Source organism: Homo sapiens, chromosome 11, assembly GCF_000001405.40.
Source record: "Homo sapiens chromosome 11, GRCh38.p14 Primary Assembly".
Lineage (NCBI taxonomy): Eukaryota > Metazoa > Chordata > Mammalia > Primates > Hominidae > Homo > Homo sapiens.
The window spans coordinates 75,848,585-75,872,042 of NC_000011.10; the positions used below are offsets into that span (position 1 = coordinate 75,848,585).

The 23,458-nt window shown below is 39.1% G+C and overlaps 1 protein-coding gene across 9 annotated transcripts in view, besides 1 other annotated feature; it reads left to right on the forward strand.

The window, feature by feature from the left end:
- Positions 1–23,458, forward strand: part of UVRAG (UV radiation resistance associated) — a 329,023-nt gene that overhangs the window by 33,375 nt on the left and 272,190 nt on the right. For all 9 annotated transcript variants that reach the window (NR_170160.1, NR_170161.1, NM_001386671.1 and 6 more), the window contains exons 2-3: positions 3,299–3,416; positions 13,162–13,196. Coding sequence is in view for 7 of the 9 variants with exons in the window: in NM_001386671.1 (NP_001373600.1) it covers positions 3,299–3,416; positions 13,162–13,196 (153 nt within the window). In the remaining 2 variants the exon portion in view is untranslated. The remainder of the gene's footprint in view (positions 1–3,298; positions 3,417–13,161; positions 13,197–23,458) is intronic.
- Positions 18,400–18,694: a silencer, noted in NCBI's record as "tiled region #15578; HepG2 Repressive non-DNase unmatched - State 23:Low". NCBI's record gives its function as "represses a minimal TATA promoter and a strong SV40 promoter by Sharpr-MPRA in HepG2 cells {active_cell/tissue: HepG2}" and the evidence as "EXISTENCE:reporter gene assay evidence [ECO:0000049][PMID:27701403]".

A 23,458-nucleotide genomic window follows, 5' to 3' on the forward strand; every position in this document is an offset into this window, starting at 1 on the left:
TATAGATTCGATCTCCGTCCAAGCCCTGCACACTGCTTTGTAAGGCAGTCAATTCCATGGTAATTGCATGTGTCATAAAGTTATTCTTTTGAGTTGAAGAATTGGTTATTTCCTTGTGTTCTGTAGTAATAAAGGAGTATGAAGACAAATTATATCTTTTAGGTATATGTAGTATTTAGATGGAGATACATATCCACGTATATAGGATGTAATCCTTGGCTTTCTTTCTGCATTCTTTCCTTCTTTTGAGATATCTCCTGTCATTTATTATTTTCTTTGTTTTATATTTGGTTACTTAGAAATGTAAGACTAGGCTGGGTGTGGTGGCTCACAACTGTAATCTCAGCACTTTGGGGAGCTGAGGCAGGTCGATCACCTGAGGTCAGGAGTTCGAGACCAGCCTGGCCAACATGGTGAAACCCTGTCTTTACTAAAAATACAAAATTAGCCAAGTGTGGTGGCACATGCCTGTAGTCGCAGCTACTTGGGAGCGTGAGACAGGAGAATCACTTGAACCCAGGATGCGGAGGCTGCAGTGAGCCGACATGGCGCCATTGCACTCCAGCCTGGGCGAGACAGAGCGAGACTCCCTCTCAAAAGAAAAAAAAAATGTTGAGATAAAGAAATGAATAATGATGGACGGGCGGGTGGTGGCTCACACCTGTAATCCCAGCACTTTGGGAGGCCAAGGCGGGCGGATCACGAGGTCAGAAGATTGAGACCATCCTGGCTAACACAGTGAAACCCCCTCTCTACTAAAAATACAAAAAAATTAGCCGGGTGCCTGTAGTCCCAGCTACTTGGGAGGCTGAGGCAGGAGAATGGCATGAACCTGGGAGGCGGAGCTTGCAGAGAGCCGAGATTGCGCCACTGCACTCCAGCCTGGGCGACAGAGCGAGACTCCATCTCAAAAAAAAAAAAAAATTAATGATAATGAGTAATAGTTAACCTTGTAGGGTTGTTATGAGAATTAAATGTTCACATGTATGAAGCACATATTTAGCACAGTACATGACACAAGGTAAACATTTAATAAATGCTGACAGTACAGTGATGGTTGTGGTTTCTATCAAGCCTTTTAATGCTAGATTAATAGGGAAGATAACGGTAAACAATTAACTATAATAAAGGCCGAACAAAATAAGTGCTATAGTAGAGATAGAAGCAAAGTTCTTACTTGTCCTAATAAGGGAGCAACTAATTTTGTTACTGGTAGCGGGTCTTGACTGAAAGTTCTCCAGGTTCTAGGTGTTTTGAACAAAGAATTGGACAAAATTAACAGCAAAGCAAGCAAAGAGTGAAGCAATGAAAGCAGAGATTTATTGAGAATGAAAGTACATTCAGCAAGGTGGGAGTGGGCCTTGCAGCCCCTGGAGAGCCCCCTTACAGAATCTTCTAGGACCCACATACCCCCAGAGGTTTCCCATTGGCCACTTGGTGTTCACACCATGCAAATGAAGTGGTGGCCTGCAATCAGTCTGATTGGTTGCAGAAAGCAGCCAATCAGAGGCTGAAGTTACAAAGTTACACTCCTATGCAAGCATCTGATTGGTTATGGAAAGCACCCAGCCAGAATGGGGAGTTTGCAAAGGGTGTAGCCTTTGGTCCTTTTGTTATTTAGGCATGGAAAGTTGGGGTTTTCCTTTAGATTTAGTTCTAGGGTTGCCTTAGGTCCCTGGAGACCCTATTCTCCTGCCTCAATTTCAATTGGAAAATCAGGAAGGGCAGGAATCTTCTTTCCTAAACTTTGAAATATGCATAGGATCTCCTTAAAGAGCGGGATGGCATTGAGGTCTACCATCAGCAAATGCATGGAGCTAGGAAAGTTCATGGTCTTTTTGATGGACTTTAAGCAGTCATGTGTGACTGAGGGGTTGGGTATGTGGAAGAGCTGGTGGGAAGTAAGGATGGTATATAGAGAAGTTAGACTGTAGAGGGCTTTGAACACAATGATGGGATGTTTTTGTACATTATCCTAGATATTCCAGATGTTTTCAGGTCTTTGAACAGAGGAGCAGGATTGTAATCTTATAGCAAAATAGATGTGATTATTGTATGCAGATAATTAGTGGTTCCTGTTTTTAAAGTTTTGACTGAAAGGGCTAATGAAAAGTGTGTAGCAGGAGAAAATTGTTGCTGTAATCCAGGGTGTGAAATGGAAACCATTGGCAGATTGTGGAAAAATGAGTCTTTTAGAGTAAGCCCAGGAAACTTTTTGTAAATACATTTGAGGCTTTTCATACTTAGAGGATTAAACAAATTTATTAGACAATAACCTTCTCTCTCAAAGAATCTTAATCTCTAGATTGGGAGAAAGGATTGGGTTGGTATGTGCACGGGAAAAAGACCTGGGCTCTTTTGGCTGACTGTGCCTGTAATTGAAAGTGGACTTACCTCAGGAGAGTGAACTGGCTTTCAGCCTGCGGGAGAGCTTTAAGCACATTTTAAGTGTGAGCACTTGGTTTCTATTTTTAAGTCTCTGAAGATAATGATCTGACATAGGGAACTAGCTTTTGGGGATGAATCTGCTGTGCCCAGACTTCAGCGTTGCCAACATTCTCTTTTTGATATATGAGTTGATTTGGCTATCCCTTAAGCTTATTTTGTATTTTTGTTGATTTCTACTATTGCTTATGAAGCTTTTCCATTTCTAAACTTATGATTTCAAATCATTAAAGAGTCTGGTTGGAGAAATTGTTAGGAAGGAGGCCTGATTATGAAATTGAGACTGGTGAAATGAGAATCGAATGGAAGCTCACAGCAGTTGCTTTATTGGCTGGATGGGGTGGATGGAGTGACCAGTGAGTCACTATTTTTATTTTTTGGCTGTGGCCTTGTTTTCCTGCTTGTATAGATAATCTGGCATCTAGACTGAACTAGCATCAGGGGTGAGTGTATGTGTTAACTGGTGATTATCTGTTGGTATGAGATGGATTTTATATGTCTATCAGAATCCCTCTGTGGAGAAAACCAAATTACTACTTAGTTTATGTTCCAGGGAATACTAATGCTATTATGCGGGTATATAGCACTTACATAACGTTGGTCCTTTTCAAAAATATTTCATGTCTGTTGTCACTTCATTCTCCAACCACCTTGTAAATGAGATAGGGCAGGTATAATTCCTGTTTGACAGAGGGGATGCTGAGGCATAAATAAGAGACTGGGTTATGGTTTCTGGCTCAATAAATAAATGACTGAGACAACTTATTACATTTCATTTTTGAACTGCAACTTCCAGAAAATTTTATAGGAGGAAAAATCTGAATGCCTTCTCTTTTTTGTTGTTATTTTTCAGCGGCGTCTTCGACATCTTCGGAACATTGCTGCCCGGAACATTGTTAATAGAAATGGCCATCAGCTCCTTGATACCTACTTTACACTTCACTTGTGTAGTACTGAAAAGATATATAAAGGTAAGGGGATCTGTGGCCTTACTACCCACAGATTGTTATATTTTTATTTTTTTTGTAACACAAGTGATTCTCAGTGCCTCCTGCTTTTGTGGCTTCTCGGAAACCTAAATTGTTATGCTGTCTGAAAATATCTCATGAGCAGTTGGGATGTATACTAAAGAAAGATGGCAGTTGGATAGTTCTTTCAGATAACTGAGCCTTACATTGATACGTTTATCATTCCTTTATGAATGTTAGCTATTAATGGTCTAGCAGCTAGCATTTCAAGTAGATTGAATCCAGTATCCTGTAGTAATTTTACTTTTATAAAAATGTAATAAATTTCTTTTCTTTAATATTATGGTAAAATAGGGACCTAGTTTATATCTTCTCGTATCTGTAATTCCCTGTATATATGGGATCTTTTTCAGAAGAATGGCATGGTTTTCTCTAATTCAGTTTTATATATTGTACTGTGGATTCTTCTGTAAGTGAAAAATTCTAAGAGTAGACCAAATATTTGATTAAAAATGGCAACCACCTTCAGAATGCATATTAGATGAGAGGCACTGAGACATAATCCGTTGGCTTAGGTGGGATGGTGTAAGAGAGGAAGCATGGTAAAATGATAGGAATGTTGGATTATGATGGAAAATACTTCCGTACTAGTTCTAGCCCAGCTACTCACTAGCTTCGTGACTTTTGATAAAGATCACGGTTTTTGGAACTTCACTCTCCCCATTTGTAAAGTAGAGATAATGATGTCTTATGAAGTAGGCAAGACAGATTTTTATGAGGATCATAAAAATCTCAGTAAGATGTGATTAAAGATCTATTTATGCTAACAAAAGGTGACATCATTTTAACAAAAGGTACTGAGACTTATTTGAATCTTGTCCTGTGGCAAAGATGAAAAATTCAAGTGATATTTATTTATTTATTTATTTTCGAGATAGGATCTCACCCTGTCAGCCAGGCTAGAGTACAGTGGCACAATCATGGCTCACTGCAGCTTTGACCTCACAGACTCAAATGATCCTCCTGCCTCCATCTCCCAAGTAGCTGGGACTACAGGTGTGAGACGCCACTCCAGGCTAACTTTGAAAAAATTTTTGTAGAAATGGGGTCCTACTATGTTTTTTGGGCTGGTCTCCAACTCCTGGACTCAAGCTATGCTCCTCCCCCAGCCTCCCAAAGTGCTGGGATTATAGGTATGAGCCACTGTCCCTAACCTCTTTTTAGTTTTAATGATTATTTAAAGCAGTGATTGTTTAACAACTTTTTTTAATGTCAATTCCAGTATCTGCTCATTAAAAAATTGAGTCAAGAAATATACAGTGAAGAAACCCCTTCAGAGTAAATAGCCTTAAAATAATTCCCGCCCACCCCACCCTGAGACGGAGTTTCGCTGTGTCACCCAGCCAGCCTGGAGTGCAATGGCGTGATCTCAGCTCACTGCAACCTCCGCCTCCCTGGATTCTAGTGATTCTGCTGCCTCAGCCTCCCAATTAGCTGGGATTACGGGCACATGCCACCACGCCTGGCTAACTTTTGTATTTTTGGTAGAGATGGGGTTTCACCATGTTGGCCAGGCTGGTCTCGAACTCCTGACCTCTGCCTGCCTTGGCCTTCCAAAGTGCTGGGATTACAGGTGTGAGCCACTGTGCCTGGCAATAATTTTTAAGGATGGGAAAAGGACTCTAAATTCCACTATCCTCATGTAATTTTATTTCATTCTCACTTTTCAGTCTAACCATTGCATGGATTTATTTATTTATTTGTTTATTTATTTATTTATTTATTTATTTTTTGAGGCAGAGTCTCGCTCCGTTGCCCAGGCTGGTGTGCAGTGGTGCAATCTTGGCTCATTGCAACCTCTGCCTCCTGGGTTCAAGCAATTCTCCTGCCTCAGCCTCCTGAGTAGCTGGGATTACAGGTGCCTGCCACCACGTCCAGCTGATATTTGTATTTTTAGTAGAGACAGGGTTTCGTCATGTTGGCCAGGCTGGTCTTGAACTCCTGACCTCAGGTGATCCCACACCTGCCTCAGCCTCCCAACGTGCTGGGATTACAGGTGTGAGCTACTGTGCCCAGTCCATTCCATATTTTTGAAACAATTGTATTCATCTGAATGATTAATGCTAGCTATTGTAACAAATACCACAACTCTTAGTGGCTTACCATAATACATGTCTTATACTAAGTCCAGTGTAGGTGTTCTTTATCAGGTTCTGTCTTGGCAGCTGTCCTTTAAGTGATGACTCAGGTATGCAGGTTCCTTCTAGTTTGGGCTGCTGGTGTCCTCAATACATGGCCTCTGGCATGGCCAGAGATAGAAGGATTACTTGTGGGAGATTTTTAAATGGAAATGGTCCATATCAATTTCATTACATTCTATTGGCCATAAATCAGTTACATTGTCCTTTTTATTTTTTATTTTATTTATTTATTTTTGAGATGGAGTCTCAGTCTGTTTGCCCAGGCTGGAGTGCAGTGGTGCCATCTCGGTTCACTGCAACCTCCGCCTCCCACGTTCAAGCGATTCTCCTGCCTCAGCCTCCCAAGAAGGTGGCATTACAGGCATGCGCCACCACACCCAGCTAATTTTTGTATTTTTTGTAGAGATGGGGTTTCACCATGTTGGCCAGGCTGGTCTTGAGCTACTGACCTCAAGTGACCTGCCCATCTTAGTCTCCCAAAATGCTGGGATTATAGATGTGAGCCACTGTGCTTGGCCTGAATTGTCCTTTTTAGATGGAAAGGGGACTGGGAAATGCAGTCTTACTATGTGTCCAGAAAGAAAATGAAACAATTTGGCTACTATTTGGTTTAAGGGTTTAAGCATTTTTGTAGGCCTTAAAACATTTAGTCTACTGCTCACTAATTGGTTATATCACTAGCAATGTATGACAGTGCCAGAGTATTTTAAATTTTTGATGAGTGTCTATATAATCAGTCCTGGTTACCTTAACAAAACTTCTGTGTTCTTGCCCCAGTGTTACCTCTGATAATAGTAATTAACACCAGTACTTAGCGCATTTTGGGAATTTGGAAAATGATAGCAATTATTATTAGAATTATAATAATCATAATAGTATTTTCTAAAAAGAATAGTCATGGGGCTGGTTGAAGATCATGTTAAAAAACTTGTCTAGAGATATGATGAAAGCAAAGTGCCTTTTTTGTTTTTGTTTTTTCTCTCTTCCAGCTCAGATTATATCTTGAATTTAGGAGTTGTCATTGACTGTTTTTTGAAGTTATCTCAATGAGATATCTCAATCCAATCCTCAACACAGTTAGGGAATAGCTGGTGACAGAGCACGGGGAAGTCCGGGGTCTGGTGTTGCTGTTGAATCTGGCACTAGCTGTCAAGCCTCTTGAGGGCATTTACTCCCTCTTGCGGGCTTCAGTTAATTTATCATTAAAATGAAGGGATTGGTGATTTCTGAGCATTCCTCCCATTCCAAAATGTCATGGTTGAGTGAAGCCTATTCATGAACTTTGTTGGGCTTTACAAACTTTTAACTACCATAGGAGGAGCTGGGAAGCCCTTTCTTTAGTAATTCTAGTTAGTGCTGTCGTATCTTGTTGGTCGGACCTATTATGACAAACGTGAATATTTGATGATCATTGTTTGGTCCTTGGTATAGAACAACCATCATAAGAGACCAATTGACTCTTCTTGATGAACCACCCATACCACCTGTTTAGTGGTAACATTTCTTAGTGTCAGAAGACAGTTTTTTATTGGAAGAATATCCGAAATGCTGGTTTCTAAGTTTTTCTTTTATTTCAGCTAAATTTACAGCAGATCCAAAGAAGATATGTGTAAAATTTAAGAAGAGATGTGTGAAATTTTTTGACTTTTGACATTCTTGTAGTGCTTTTAGGAGATTGTTTACTTATTTCCAATCAAATACTAGTTATTATATCCCCAGAGAACAAAGCCTTGTGTTAATGGATGGATAGATTCTAAACTTGGTTCTTGTTAAAATTGGAAATTTTTATTTTTTATTTTTTATTTTTTTGAGACGGAGTCTCACTCTGTCGCCCAGGCTGGAGTGCAGTGGCGCGATTCCAGCTCACTGCAAGCTCCGCCTCCTGGGTTCAGACCATTCTCCTGCCTCACCCTCCCGAGTAGCTGGGACTACAGGCATCCGCCACCACGCCCAGCTAATTTTTTGTATTTTTAGTAGAGACGGGGTTTCACTGTGTTTGTTTCACCGTGTTAGCCAGGATAGTCTCGATCTCCTGACCTCGTGATCCGCCTGCCTCGGCCTCCAAAAGTGCTGAGATTACAGGCGTGAGCCACCGTGCCCGGCCCTTAAGTTTGTTTTTCATAGTTATTTTCTTACCCATGAAATGTAAATGCCTGCCCTCTCCTGGAATACCGACTGTCTTGAATACATCAGAAGATGAACTCTATATTACTTAATTTGGTGATCTTACCCAAGTCTCATAGTTTTATTTATTTTTATTTATTTTTTATGAGACAGAGTCTGACTCTGTCAACCAGGCTGGAGTGCAGAATCACAGCTCACTATAGCCTCAACCTTTTGGGCTCAGGTGATTCTCCCGCCTCAGCCTCCCGAGTAGCTGGGACTATAGGCACACACCACCATGCCTGGCTAATTTTTTGTTGTTGTTTGTAGAGCCGAGTTTTGCCATGTTGTCTAGGCTGGTCCCAAACTTCTGGGTTCAAGCAATCCACCTGCCTTGGTTCCCAAAGTGCTGGGATTATAGGCAGAAGCCACCAAGCCTGGGTCAAGTCTTCAAGTTTTAAATGTCACCTGTTGACCTTTCCTCTGAACTCATACCCCTGTAATCCAGTTGCCTACTCTACAGCTCCATTTGGGGTCTAGTAGGTAACTTAAACTTGATATGTTCAAAACTGAGCTTCTGATGTTCCAGCTGTGATCCATCTCCTGTATTCTTCCTTATATCAGAAAATGGCAACTCCATTTCCTTGGCCAAAAACTTGGAGTTATCCTGGATTGTCTTCTTTCTCTTACATTTCACATCCAGTCTTTCAGCGTATACTTTTGGCTCTTACTATCAAAATATATCCATAACCTAATCACTTCTTGCTATCTTCAAACCACAGTCATCTTTTAACTACATTGTTGAAGTAGACGTTTAACAGGTTTGTCTGCTCATGCAACTCCGTCAGTCTGTTCTCAACTGAGATCCTGTTAAAATGAAAGTCACATCCCTTTATTTCTCTCCTCAAAACCCTCCCATGGCTTCCCATCTCATTCACAGAAAAGGCTAAAATCCTTATGGTTTCCTAGAAGGCCTTTCATGATCTGGTTCTTGGTTACCTCTCTGAACTCATTTTCTGCTACTCTTCCAGCTGTCTGTGTTCCAGCTAGCTGAAATTGTAGCTGTTGCTTGAATGCATTGGTTTTAACTAACTTAAAGACCTCTGCATTTGCCATTTGACTTGGATACTTTTCCTTCACTTATTCACGTGACTAGTGCTTCCACCTTCTTGCAGATCTTTCTTTTTCCCCCCCCCTTTTTTTTTTGAGATGGAGTCTCGCTCTGTTGCCCAGGCTGGAGTGCAGTGGTGCAGTCTCAGCTCACTGCAGCCTCTACCTCCCAGGTTCAAACGATTCGTCTGCCTTAGCCTCCCGAATAGCTAGGACTACAGGTGTATGCCACCACGCCCAGCTAATTTTTGTAGTTTTAGTAGAGATGGGGATTCACCATGTTGGCCAGTATGGTCTTGATCTCTTGACCTCGTGATCCACCCGTCTTGGCTTCCCTAAGTGCTGGGATTACAGGCCTGAGCCACTGTACTCAGCCTTTTTTTTTTTTTCCTTTCAATTCTGCTCCTTCTGAATTGCAGGTCTTTATTCCACATGTTTCTCAGAGAAAGTCTCCTTGATCACTGACTAACCCTTTTATAAATTGTGATTATTCTCCTCTGTCTTCTGTGCTTTATTTTTCTCTGTGGTACTTAAGATCACTTGACATACTATATGTTTAATTATTTGATTATTGTATGTCTCTTCCCACTAGAATGTAAACTCTATGAAGGCAGAGATTTTCAGGTCACTTTTGCTTATTGCTCTGTCCCCAATATGCAGAACTGCAGAACCATGCTTGACACATACTAGGCCTTCAAATATTTTTGTCTTTTTAATTTAATTTTTTAATAGGTAAAAAAAAATATATATGTGTATATATATATAAAGATACAAAGGTTCATATTAAGGCCTCCCTTTCACCAGCCTTCTGTCACCCTAGTTTTCTACCCCACCCTGATAACCACTGTTACTCATTTCTTGTTTGTCTTTCCTGAGATTCTTTATGCAAATACAAGTACAAATACAAATATTCTTATTCCTTTCTCTCCTCTTTTTTACACAAAGTGTACCATACTATTTATGTTTCTGTACCTTGCATTTTTCACTTACTGTCTTAGGGTTTTCTCCATATTGGTTCATAGACAGCATCCCTGTATTTTGTTTTTTTCTGCATAGTTTTGCATTGAATAGATACACCATAATTTATTTACTGGCTCCTATTGGTGGACACTTAGGTTGTTCCAGTCTTTTGCTATACACACAGTATTGCATTGAATAACTTTATAATACATTGTTTTGTATGAGTGACAGTATATTGATAGGGTAAATTTCATAAAGTGGAATTACTAGGACAAAGAGAATGTGTACTTGAAGTTTTGGTAGATATTGCGAAATTGCCCTCCGTGGGAGTTGTTTTATGTGTGAGTGCTTTTCTCCCCACAGCTTCAACCACCAAGCCTATGCAAACTTTTGAATTTTTGCCACCCTGTTAGGTGAAAAATAATTTTGCAGTATAGCTTAAGTTTGTATTTCTCCTATTATGAGTCCACATTCATAGTAGGAGATAGTTTTGCTTTGAATAGATACACCATATCTATGAGTATTAGGATGAGGCACTTAAGCATTTGTTGAATGAATGGAATGCTGCAGAACAGCCAAAATATGCCACTTGAAACATACTCTGCAATCTGTGATTGCTTTGTTTCTTTCCGTCTTAGCATGGCTACATAGAGAAATATTTATATTTAATGGTCTTTTTCATGTAGAAGTAGGTCTTGAATGATATCTTTTTGAAAATTTAGGCTGGGTGTGGTGGCTCACGCCTGTAATCCCAGCACTTTGGGAGGCCGAGGCGTGTGGATCATTTGAGGTCAGGAGTTCAAGACGAGCCTGGCCAACATGGCGAAACCTCTTCTCTACTAAAAATACAAAAATTAGCCGGGCGGTGGTGGTGTGCACCTGCAATCCCAGCTACTCAGGAGGTTGGGGCTGGAGAATCACTTGAACCCGGGAGGCGGAGGTTGCGGTGAGCCGAGATCACGCCACTGCACTCCAGCCTGGGTGACAGAGTGAGACCCTGTCTCAAAAAAAAAAAAAGAAAATTTCCTTGTATGATTTTACTCACATTGAATGGAAAAAAACTAAACAATTTTATTAATAAAATTTTATTAATTTTGTTTTAAATAATTTTAGGTTTTGTTTTAAGCAATAAAACTTAAACAATAACAATAAAAATTATAAAATATTTTAAATACATTATTTTATTTCAGCCTCGTAACAACCCTATTATATTCCAGGTGTCATTCTCCTTTGAAAGATGAAGAAATTGTGGGCCATAAAGGTTAATTGACCTATCCAGGGTCACAAAGATTGAGGTAGATTGAGGACTGGAACTATTTTTTTTTAACTCTACATTCACTCATTTTTTTATATTGTGCTATAAATTTTATTGATAATATTTTAGATGCAATAGAATGCTACACAGTGTAGGTTCATGTTTGTCATATTAGAAATAACCTCATACTCAGCAATTTCTTTCCAAATTGTATGGCTCCTTTGTTAAACTCTCTTCATTTACATTGGCATGTTCATTTTGAGGGTCTGCTGGAGAAGGCGAATTGTTTTGTTTGATTTATTCAGCCAGGTAACAAAGTTTTATTTATTTATTTATTTTGAGATGGAGTTTTGCTCTCGCTCAGGCTGAAGTGCAATGTGCAATCTCAGCTCACTGCAACCTCCACCTTCTGGGTTCAAGTGATTGTACTGCCTCAGCCTCCCCAGTAGCTGGGATTACAGGCACCCACCACCACACCTGGCTAATTTTTGTATTTTTAGTAGAGACAGGATTTCACCATGTTGGCCAGACTGGTCTTGAACTGCTGACTTCAGGTGATCTGCCCGCCTCAGCCTCCCAAAGTGCTGGGATTACAGGCGTGAGCCACCACACCCAGCCCCCAAGTTAACAAAGTTTTGGAAGAAGGAATGATACCACTCATCTTAGAGCTAGAAATATGTATTGCAAAAACTGTTTAATTTAGACACTTTGCAGATTAAGCTAAGGAATTCGCTTTCTCAAAAGAAAAAGGGATTATCTTTCTTGTGTTTTTCACTGACTTAACAGTAATATATACTTTAATTCAAACAACACAAGAATATATACAGTATTATGTAAAAATACCCTGTAATAAAAAACAATAGTTTTAAATCCCTTATGCTTTTGTTTTTTGAAAAATGTATGGTGCGTGTATGTTAGGATATATGTATATGTATACATAAATACATACATTTCTAAGTTTGTATTGTCAGTTAATGGTTGGAATAATTGGTTAACCATTTGAGGATAAAATGAAAAGAACAATACTTACGGTTTCATAGTGTTGGAGAAACAGACTTTTTCATAAGTGGTATTGTAAATTAGTATAATATTTGTATGTAACAATTTGGCAATATCTATCAAAGTCAAATTGTTCTTTGAGCGTGCAATTTCTTTTCTTTTCTTTTCTTTTTTTTTTTTAGATGGAGTCTCACTCTGTCACCCAGGCTGGAGTGCAGTAGTGCAATTCTACCCACTGCAGCCTCTGTCTCCTGGGTTCAAGCAATTCTCCTGCTTCAGCCTCCCAAGTAGCAGGGATTACAAGCATGTGCCACCACACCTAATTTTTGTATTTTTAGTAGAGATGGGGTTTCATCCTGTTGGCCATAAGAGCAGCATGGAGATGACTTGGGCAGGATAAGCAGAGGGAATATTGGAAGGTTTTCAGGAGTGTCTGAACTTCTGACACATTTTGATTGCATCTTTGAGTTTTGTGACCTTTTCCAACATACATGAAGGCTTGTAGAGTCATGAAATTTTAATGCTTACCAAGGACCTTCAATTATCTGTTCAATTCTCTAAGTTGTCTTAGAGCAATAATGAGCCCAGGGGAATTAAAGAGACATAGTGTTAGTGACAGAGGTAGAAGTAGGACTTAAGTCACCCGGTTGCTAGTGTTTTAACCAAAACTGTCAACCAGTTAACCTAGATTAAAACACTAGCAACCAGGTAACCTACATCAGTATTCACTCCACAGTACTGCAATGGGTAATCATTCGAGATGTTTGAGAAAAACAGAGCGGATGGAGTCAGTTGTGAGGGTGGAAGCGGGGAAGGAAGAAGGTTGGAGCTTTTAAGGGCTCAAATTAGAATTGGAGGAAAAAGGAGTCAGTAAGGTAATAATCACTAAAGCAAATCTGAAAGGTTTTATCCTTCTTTACTGAATTTTTTTCCCTTTAAAACACTTTCATTGAATTTTTACTTTTTTTTTTAACAGATAAAGATATAGAGAGAATAAATCCCTTGAAAATATTTTAAATGTTTTACTGCAACATATGTTAAAAAAATTAGAGGATTAACAGTTGGTTAATGGGCTTATTTTCTTTCATATCACTTATTGTTCTTTTTTCTTCTTTTCCAGAATTTTATAGAAGTGAAGTGATTAAGAATTCCTTGGTAAGTTTGCTTTCTGACGGGTACATATGACTAAGTATATACACCTGTTTTCAGAAAATGCAGAAATGTAAAATAAGTTGAGGTTCAGCTCTGGTTTTATGATACTTTAACGGATCTGCTCAATTGTTAAATCATCATTGTTTTGTTCATTGCTGTATCTCTAGTGCTTATGTAGTAGGTGCTTGATAAATATTTACTGAATGAAATGACAAGTTAATGGGTGTAGCACACCGACATGGCACATGTATACGTATGTAACAAACTGGCACGTTGTGTACATGTACCCTAAAACTTACAGTATAATAATAATAAAATAAAAAAAGAAAAAAATATTTACTGAATGAACTGATTTTTCTGTTAAGAACTTTAAATGATAAAAACTCAAATTCTATAGTTTTCTCACTTCCATTTCCTATAAATAAGTTTCTGATTATTTCACTCGCCATATGTCATAATAAATGATATCTTTGTTCAGATATAGTTCTTAAGAATTTTATGCCTCGGGCTTTTGTATAGGATACTCCTACTTGTTTCTTGGCAGTGGCATTGCTCAGTTGGAAAGTTGTAAATATCCTACTTTTGATAATGTATACACTGGATATTTGCATAAATGGCTCAATTTATTAGGCTGTGTTGAAAACAAAGAAGACCTTTCTGGTAATGAAAATATCTTAGTAATGGTCCAGTACCATCTTGGATTTGGCCCTTGTCTGCTTTTCCACCTCATCTCCTCCTCTTTTCCGCACTCATTGTGTTCCAGGTGTACCTCTTTCAGTGCTTCAAACACACAAAGCTTATCTTGTTCCTTATGTCTAGAACACTTGTTTCCTCAGCTGTTCGCTTGACTGAAGAGGTCTTCAAGGTCTCAGCTATGTCACTTCAGCAAGACCTTCTATGGCTATCTCATCTAGAGCAGTTCTCTTTCCCCAGTCATGCTTTTTCATGACCCTGTTTTATTTTCTTTAAAGTGTTCATCACTGTTGGAAACTCTTGCTTGCTTACTTGTTTGTGTTTATGAACTGCCTCCCACCTGCTAGAACATAAGTTCCATGAAAGCACGGGCCCTGCCAATCTCGCTGCTCCTGTTACCCTGGAGTCTAGAATAGTATAGATGCTCAGTAACTACTTGTTAAATGAATAAAGGGTTATCAATGATGTGTTGTATTTACATGTTATCCCATTTTGATCCTTAGAACAACCTGTAAAGTAGATGGGGCAGATCTTAGGAAGCTGGTACCCAGAGAGTTCCAACAACTTTTGCAGAGTCAGAGGACTGCAGGACCAGAACCCCAATCTAGACCTTCTGTCTTTGTCTCTACTCTTTCCTCTTCATCAAGCTGTCTTTGAAATGTCTCTAAAATATCAATAGATTTGGATTCTAGGCCAGACAGTTCCTTGAGTCCATCTCTGGGGAGGTCCCATCACCAGTAAAGCTCTGGTTCTACGTATATTATATGATATAAAATAAGTGCCTAGCATCATGCTTGATGTATAATAGTTACTGAGTAAATATTAGTTTTTCCTCCTCTCCTTGCTCAGGTGGAAACAGAAATAGTTTGCAGACAGTTAAGAGCTAGGAGTGATTATGGGGAAGATAGAACAGAATTTTGTGTTCATTTATTCTGTTCTCTTTTCCATAGTCAAATGTTGGGGATGGTTTTTTAATATCCATTGCTTTTCCCCCAGATTTGTGTTATAATAGACCCTATGTCATAATAATAGACCCTATGTCATAATGGCACTTTAGTGTATTGTTCTGCATTATTAGTATTGGATTTATTAGATCTTCCCTTGGCTCCCAAATCCATATTTCTAAAGATCTCTGAATGTTAACTCCTATCTTCAACTCCTTTTGGCCTCCATCTTCAATTGCTTTGGAGCTATCTGTGAGGTCATGATACCTTCATCCTTTGTGCACTTAGGTGGAATATTGTCTCCAAAGAATACTGTAGAATGGATTCAAGACAAGGGGGAGGATTGGACTAAAACACTTGTAGGTCCCTTTCAACTCACAGTTTATACTATAATTGTTTTCCGAATGTACCTCATACAGTGTTTGCTTGCATTGTGATTTCATGGACATTCTGTTTCACAAAGTAGATCAAATCTCCTGGAGGTCACAGACTGTATGTCTTTATATCCCCTTAGTTCCTAGTGTATTTCTATTGGGTAGTTGTTTGACAAATATTAATTTTTTGATGTTCCTTTTAAAGGTATTCTTTGAGATTTTGGCAAGGATTCTTTTTTTTTCTTTTATATCTTAATAAAGGTTCTATTAACTTTTTTTTTTTTTTTGAGACAGGGTCTCTCTATCACCCAGGCTGGAGTGCAGTAGCATGATCTCAGCTCACTGCAACCTCCACCTTGTGAGCTGAGGCGATCCTCTTACCTCAGCCTCCCAAGGAGCTGGGACTACAGGCATGAACCACCATGCCTGACTAATTTTTGTATTTTTTGTAGAGACAGGGTTTCACCATGTTACCCAGGCTGGCCTGGAACTCCTGACCTCAAGCAATCCGCCTAACTCAGCCTCCCAAAGTGCTGGGATTACAGGCATGAGCCACTGTGCCCAGCCTAATTAACTCTTTCTTTCTGAGGGAGCTCTTTTTTCTTAGCTTTTTGCTAATTCATTGTGATTGGTTCAGATTGATGGGCATTGGGCAGTACAGGAGTCAACAACCCTCAGAGAATATGCCAGAGATGGCACGTTGTTACTGCCCTTCTTGCTGCCTCTGAAGAAGCACTGCCAGGTCAACAGCAGAATTGGTTGGTTTCTTTCCTGTTTAGGATTTTGCGATTTTTAAGCTATTGTGATATTTGCTGAATAGTTAGTCGTTTAAATGCTTTTGTATTTATTTGTTACCATTGTGCTTGGCACACAGAAGACGCTCAGCAAATGTTTCTTGAATAAATGAATTCTTCCCTAAGGATATTTATTAACTTCGAAGTTATATCCTGAAACTGCAAATCTTCAATTAGATACTAAAGGATTAGGCAAAGATTTGAATACTTTATTTCTAATTAAGGCTTTGAGTAAATTTTCACTCTGGTGAACTAAGTTGGACTTTGATAAGCTTGTAAGTATCTTTTTCACTCATGTAACTTTGAGATACAGAATGTTGTTCCTTGTTTATATTCTGAGCTTGGTTCTTAGACCAGAGTGGCTTGGTTTCATCACTCTGACGTCAAAGGAGACATGGAAAAATGGACTCAAGATTAAAAAGAGGCCGAGTGTGGTGGCCTACGCCTGTAATCCCAGCACTTTGGGAGGCTGAGGCGGGCGGATCATCTGAGGTCAGAAGTTTGAGACCAGCCTGACCAACATGGAGAATCCCCATCTCTACTAAAAATATAAAATTAGCTGGGCGTGGTGGCACATGCCTGTAATCTCAGCTACTCGGGAGGCTGAGGCAGGAGAATTGCTTGAACCTGAGAGGCGGAGGTTGCGGTGAGCCGAGATCGTGCTGTTGCACTCCAGCCTGGGCAACAAGAGTGAAACTCCATCTCAAAAAAAAAAAAAAAAAAAAAAGATAAAAAAGAGTGTTTTCCCCCAAATATTAGATAAACTGTTCTTATGCCCTTATTCTGTGCTTCTTTCTAACTCTTGAATACTCCAGATCACCTGTCCAATAAAACTTTCTGCAATGATGGTAATGTTCTACGTATTGTTCAGTACAGTTGCCACTGGCCACATGTGGCCATTGAGCACTTGAAATGTGGTTCAGTCCTACTGCAGAACTGAATTTTAAATTTTGTTTAATTTTAATTTAAATAGCCACATGAGGCTAGTAGATATCATATTAGACAGCACAGTTCTAGATGCTTCTGAAAAGCTTTCTTTTTTTTTTTTTGAGATGTTGTCTTGCTCTTGTCGCCCAGGCTGGGGTGCAGTGGCACGATCTCGGCTCATTTTAACCTCCGCCTCCCGGGTTCAAATGATTCTCTTGCTTCAGCCTCCTGAGTAGCTGGGACTACAGGTGCCCGCCAGCATGCCCGGCTAATTTTTGTATTTTTAGTAGAGACAGGATTTCGCCATGTTGGCCAGGCTGGTGTTGAACTCCTGATCTCCGGTGATCTGCCCACCTCAGCTTCCCAAAGTGCTGGGATTACAGGCGTGAGCCACCACGCCTGGCCAGGGCTTATAATCATTAACAGGAAGAAATTTCACCTTTTTGTTTTTTTAAAAGTAGTTTGGCCCAGGTGCAGTGGCTCATGCCTATAATCTTAGCACTTTGGGAGACCAAGGTGGGCGGATTGCTTGAGCCTAGGAGTTCAAGACCAGCCTGGGCAACATGGCAAAACCCCATCTCTACCAAAAAATGCAAAAATTACCCGGGAAGTTGAGGCGAGAGGATTGCTTAAGTCTCAGAGGCGGAGGTTTCAGTCAGCCAAGATTGTGCCACTCCAGCTTGGGTGACAGAGTGAGACCCTGTCTCAAAGGAAAAACAAATTACTTCGAGCTGAGCGTGGTGGCTCACACCTATATCCCAGTACTTTAGGAGGCTGAGGCAGGAGGATCATGTAAGCCCAGGAGCTTGAGATCAGCCTGGGCAAGATGACGAGACTCCCATCTCTACAATAAATAAATAAATAAATAAATAAAATAAAATAAAATAATTAGCTGGGCATGGTGGTGCATACGTGTAGTTCCCTGCTAGCTGGGAGGCTGAGGCAGGGGGATCCCTTGAGCCCAGGAATTTGAGATTGTGGTGAACTATGATTGCACCACTGCACTCCAGCTTGGGCGACACAGTGAGAACCCATCTCAAAACAACAGCAACAGCAACAAAAACTAAATAAAAAACTTTGTGCTTTTTTTTTTAATACCACTAGTCTCATTTATAAATCCATATAATAGCTTTTTGTATGGTTGTCTTAGCTTCTTTGGTATGTAATAATAAACTTCAGAAAGCAGGGACCTCATGTGGTTCATGTTTTAATCTCCATAGTCATTGTATCGTGATTTGCTTTGACTTGGCAAACAAACAAAATATGTTTAGTATGTCATATATGTATGTATCCAAATCTAAGTTTCTGGCTGTAAGACTCACTGTTATTTTACATTTACAAAAAATAGTTAAACATTCTAATTAAACTGAACATAAGGCCTGAGCAATAGTCTTATGAGTTGTGATTCAATTTTACTAACCTGTTGTTACTTTGGAGTTTCTTCAATCCATTCCAAGATATTTAGCAGTCTTTCCTTTTTTCATTATTTGACTTATGATAAGGAATCCTATTAGCAATAAAATATTTACTTCCTTAAGTCCTTTAAAGAGGTTGGATGCAGTCATTTCTCCAGTGACAGATATTTGCTTCTCTAATACCAAATTCATGCCTCATTGCTCTGTTTCTGTGCTTTCTGCCTACACAAAATCTTAATACTTTTTATTGAAGTTTGGCATTTATAGAAGAGTTTATAGTTCATAAGTATACAGCATGATGAATTATCTCAAACTGAATACACCCATATATCCAGCATCCAGATCAACAAATAGAATATTTTCAGCTCTTAAAAAGCCCTCTCCTCCCCTCTCCAGTCGCTGTTACTTTCCTGACTTTTAACACCATAGGTTAATTTTACCTGCTTTTGTATGAATGAAATAATATCGTATGCACTCTTTTGTGTCCGATTGCCATGTTTCAACTTTATGTAGTAAGATTCATTTATTTTTTGGGACGTATTTGTGGTTTGTTTGCTCTATAATATTCCATTATGTGAAATCACAGAATTGACTCATTTTTTCTGTGGATAGGCATTTGGTTAGGTTCTAGTTTTGAGCTAACATAAATAGTGCTGCTATAAACACTCTCCTATATGTCTTTTGGTAAATGTATGGATGTATTTCTGTTGAGTATACATCTAGGAGTGGAATTGCTAGGAATATGCATATGGTCAGCTAAAGCTGCCAAATAGTTTTCCAAAATTATTGTTTGATTTATACTCTCACCCCCAGTCTGCAAGAGTTCTGTTTACATGGTTGTGAACACTTGATTTTTAAAAAACCTTTTGAATTTAAATTGTTAAATATTACAAAATTTTTTGTTTCAGTATAAATCAAGAGAAATATTTTAAATGGCAATTAAACTTAGCAGCACATGTAGTGCTAACATTGTGCCTAACTTAATATCAAACACGGCTACTTTTAAGGGTGTGCGTGTAGATACAATGACACTGGATGACTGCCACCTGGTGGTCAAAGATTGTAGGACTTTATTGATTTTACTATTTCTAAAATCAGAATTCATCTTACAATGTGAAAAAATACGCACGTTAGAACTGGTGAGTGGGACTATGTTGGATGGTAATAAATAGAATGGAGTAGACTGAAGCAGAATAAGGGAGTACCTGCCAGGGGAGATTGCAGTTTTTCTGCAGCAGTCACATGGGAGATGTCACTTGAGCAGACGCCTGACAGAAGTGAGGGAACAAGCTATATAGCTATTTCAGGAATACTGTTACGGGACAAGAAACAGGAAAGTAGAAAGACAGGAGTGTACTTGAGGTGTTCAAGAAATGGCTAAGAAGTTAGTAAGGCTGGAGTGCAGTGAGCAGAGGTGGTTTGAGGTGTTGCTAGGCACATAAGACAGAGAGACAGGTGCAAGAGAATTGAGGATCAGGACAGCAGAGGGAATGGCCTGGAGCAATAGGAGATGATGGTCAAGGGCTAAGGAGCATGAGAATGAGATTTTGGAAGGCATAGCATTACAATTAATGCAAAATGGGGCACATCTGGTGGACCAGGACCCTCACCTTATCCATGATATATTTAGCATAGAACAATTCATGGTGAATGTATAGTTCAGTGTTAAGGTCTCTGGCTTCAGCTAGCTGTGCCCTCCATATCATCTCTTCTTGTGTTCAGGGAGAGGTTAGATCCTTGATATTATTGAAAGGTCATTGGGTTAATAAGTAAAATTATTGAAGCAATAACAATATAAGTGACTAAATTCTCTGAAGTTGGTTTCTCATGTTTATAAAAGAGATTAATTATATTGCAAACCCACATCTGCCTTTAACAGTTACAAAGTTAATCTACTCATTGGTTATTTTCCCAAAAACAAGTTTTAAACTTTTATTAGAATATTAAAAATCTCATGGTGGGAGTATACTGATAGCTAATTTGTGTGTGTTTTGAAATGTCTCTGTACCTGGATTTTTTAAATGAAGAAGAGGTATCAATTATAAGTACCCACCTATGATTGAAGTAGCATGTTGGACATGTCATATACATTATTTCTCATCCTGATAATAGCATTCCAAGCTAAGAGATATGCTTGTTTTACAGCTGAGGAACCAGGTTCAGCAGGCTGAGGAACTTGATCTAGGTCACACCGCTAATAACTAGTAAAACCAGTGTTCCAGAGCCCTGCTGTTTTGCAGCCTCCCTTATATCCCACTTCCTTCCACTGATTAAGTCTGCTAGAGGGCTAACAGAGGTCACTGATAGGCTTTATCATTGAATAAACAATTTCTAGAGCATGCATTTTAGGGAAAGCATGTGGCATAATTTATCAGAACTATAAAGTTCTGTTGAGATTGTGACTGAGGAGCTGTTTTTAAATCTTTGGGAAAAAAACTGGCTAAACAGTACAAATACTTTTTATGAGTTACTGGTCTGAGTGATTCTCAAACCAACTTTATGTTTCAGTTGAATTATGATTGAATGAATTAACATTGAGTGTGTGTGTGTGTAGCTTATGTCAGATTATGTTACTGTCTTTTAAACTGCATCATCTTCAAGGTTTTCCAACTTCTGTCTGTTTAACTACATGATTTGAAGGGAGACAGAGATAATCAACAAATCAACACATGGAATTATATGTAGTACCAGGGAAGAACAGGATGCCATGAAAACATGTAAAAGTGTTATTTATGTTAGTTTGGAGGGAGAAGTTAGGAAAGGTTTCTAACAATTAGTAATTTCTAAATTGAGATAGGAAGTCTGAATAAAAGTGAATGAGACAGGGAAAGAGAGTTTATTGTGTTAATAGTAATGATAAAATCAGTATGCTATTCCAGTGAGATGTGTTGTATGGTTTCAGAAAGTTAGAACACATTTTATGAGTTCTTGGTTGTGTTCTTGTAACCATACATTTGTTATCAAGCAACAGTAATAAATAATGGTTTTATGTCCTCTTGTGGGTGTGTGGTAGACAGTGAACTTTTCAGAGCTTATAAATATCCTGATATTCTACTTTTCAGTGAATGTGGTGGTACAGGTCCCTGGATGATATTAGTACTTGATTAATTTGTTCCATGTAGAAATTGGGCGGGTATGTATAGGTTAAATATAAATAAAAAAATCATCTGGGTCTATATAGTAAAAATAGTAGGCTATAAAATCTTTGAATGTGTGGCAGGCTGTATCTGCCTGTATCTGAATGTACCAACTTAGGAATTATTGCTCATTGTCTGGCAACTGTTTTGTAATAGTATAAAGGAAAGTCTTTGTAATCAGAAGATTGACAATAGCTCTACTGTATCAGTGTTGTATTGGCTTAGAAAGAACACCCAGGTCATCTATTCAACCACATGAAATAACTTCAAAAAACTTCCCTGTCCTCCAGAGGCATTTGATTTTGAATGAAGTATTTAAGAATATTTGCTACAACAACCCCCAAGAGTATCTATCCCTCTTCCTTGCCATGCATTATGCCCCTTCAGATACATTCACCAAGTGTCATTTTTTCACTTTGAAAGGAGGTATTATTTTCTGCTTTTTCTGATACTTTATCACTCTAATAGTAATAGGAAATTATGCTACTTCATATTTTAGTATATATTTACTCTTATTGAAAGGTGGTCTTAAACAAAGGGGAGTAAATGACTACCTTTTAGGGTGGTATAATTTGAAGACCAGGAGGGTTTAGGCTTTAGGACATACATCAGGAAGAGATGACTTCATTTGATTTATTTCAGTGGGGCACCTGTTGTTTTTTCCCTTGTTGGATCTTTAAAAAAAATAGTTTAATTACTTTTTATTGAGATATTGTACACATCTAGTAAATGCACAAATAATAGCCTTATGACTTTTCAAAAGGAACTGATCAATGAAACACGATCATCTTTTGCTTTTCTTTGCTTTATTTTATTTTTTTTTTTGATACGGAGTTTCACTCTTGTTGCCCAGGCTGGAGTGCAATGGCGCGATCCCGGCTCACTGCAACCTCCGCCTCCAAGGTACAAGCGATTCTCCTGTCTCAGCCTCCCAAGTAGCTCAGATTACAGGCATGTGCCACCATGCCTGGCTATTTTTTTATATTTAGTAGAGATGGGGTTTCATCATAACATGTTAGTCAGGCTGGTCACGAACCCCAGACCTCAGGTGATTCGCCCACCTCGGCCTCCCAAAGTGCTGGGATTACAAGCATGCGCCCCTGCGCCCGGCCTATCTCTTGCTTTTCAGTCACTACCTTTTCCCAGAGAGAACCTCTCTTCTGACTTCTAACACCATAGCTTAGTTCTGCCTGGTTATGAACTTTTACATGGCATATGCCCTTTTTTTTTTTTTTTTTTTTTGAGGCAGAGTCTCGCTCTTGTTGCCCAGGCTGGAGTGCAATGGTGGGATCTTGGCTCACTGCAACCTCTGCCTCCCAGGTTCAAGTGATTATCCCACCTCAGCCTCCCAAGTAGGTGAAGTGTGCACCACCATACCAGGCTAATTTTTTTTTGTATTTTTAGTAGAGACAGGGTTTCACCATGTTGGCCAGATTGGTCTCGAACTCCTGATCTCAAGTGATCCGCCCACCTTGGCCTCCCAAAGTGCTCGGATTACAGGCACGAGCCACCGCGCCCGGACTGCATCTGCTCTTTTGCTCAGCATAATATTTGTGAGATTCGTTCATGTTGTATATAGTAGTTCACTAATTCTAATGAACATATCCTTTGCTGAACATATGTGTGCCTTTCTCTGAGGTAGGTACTTAGAAGTGGAATTAAGTGCTGGGTTGTAGGTTATGTTCAGCTTTAGTAGATATTGCCAAATAATTTTCCCAAGCATTTGTACCAGTTACATCTTACCAGCAGTGTGAGATTTTTAGTTGCTCTATCCTTGCCCAAACTTGGTATTATCTATCTTTCAAGTTTTAGCCATTCTGGTGGGATTATGGTATTATGTTGTGGTTTTAGTTTAGTTTAATATGGTATTATGATATTTATGTTGTGGAGCACTTGTTCTGGAAAATCATACCAGTTAATGCCAATTAGGAATAAACAAATCCCGAACAAGTATTGGAGTCTTTTTAAAAAAATTGATGGG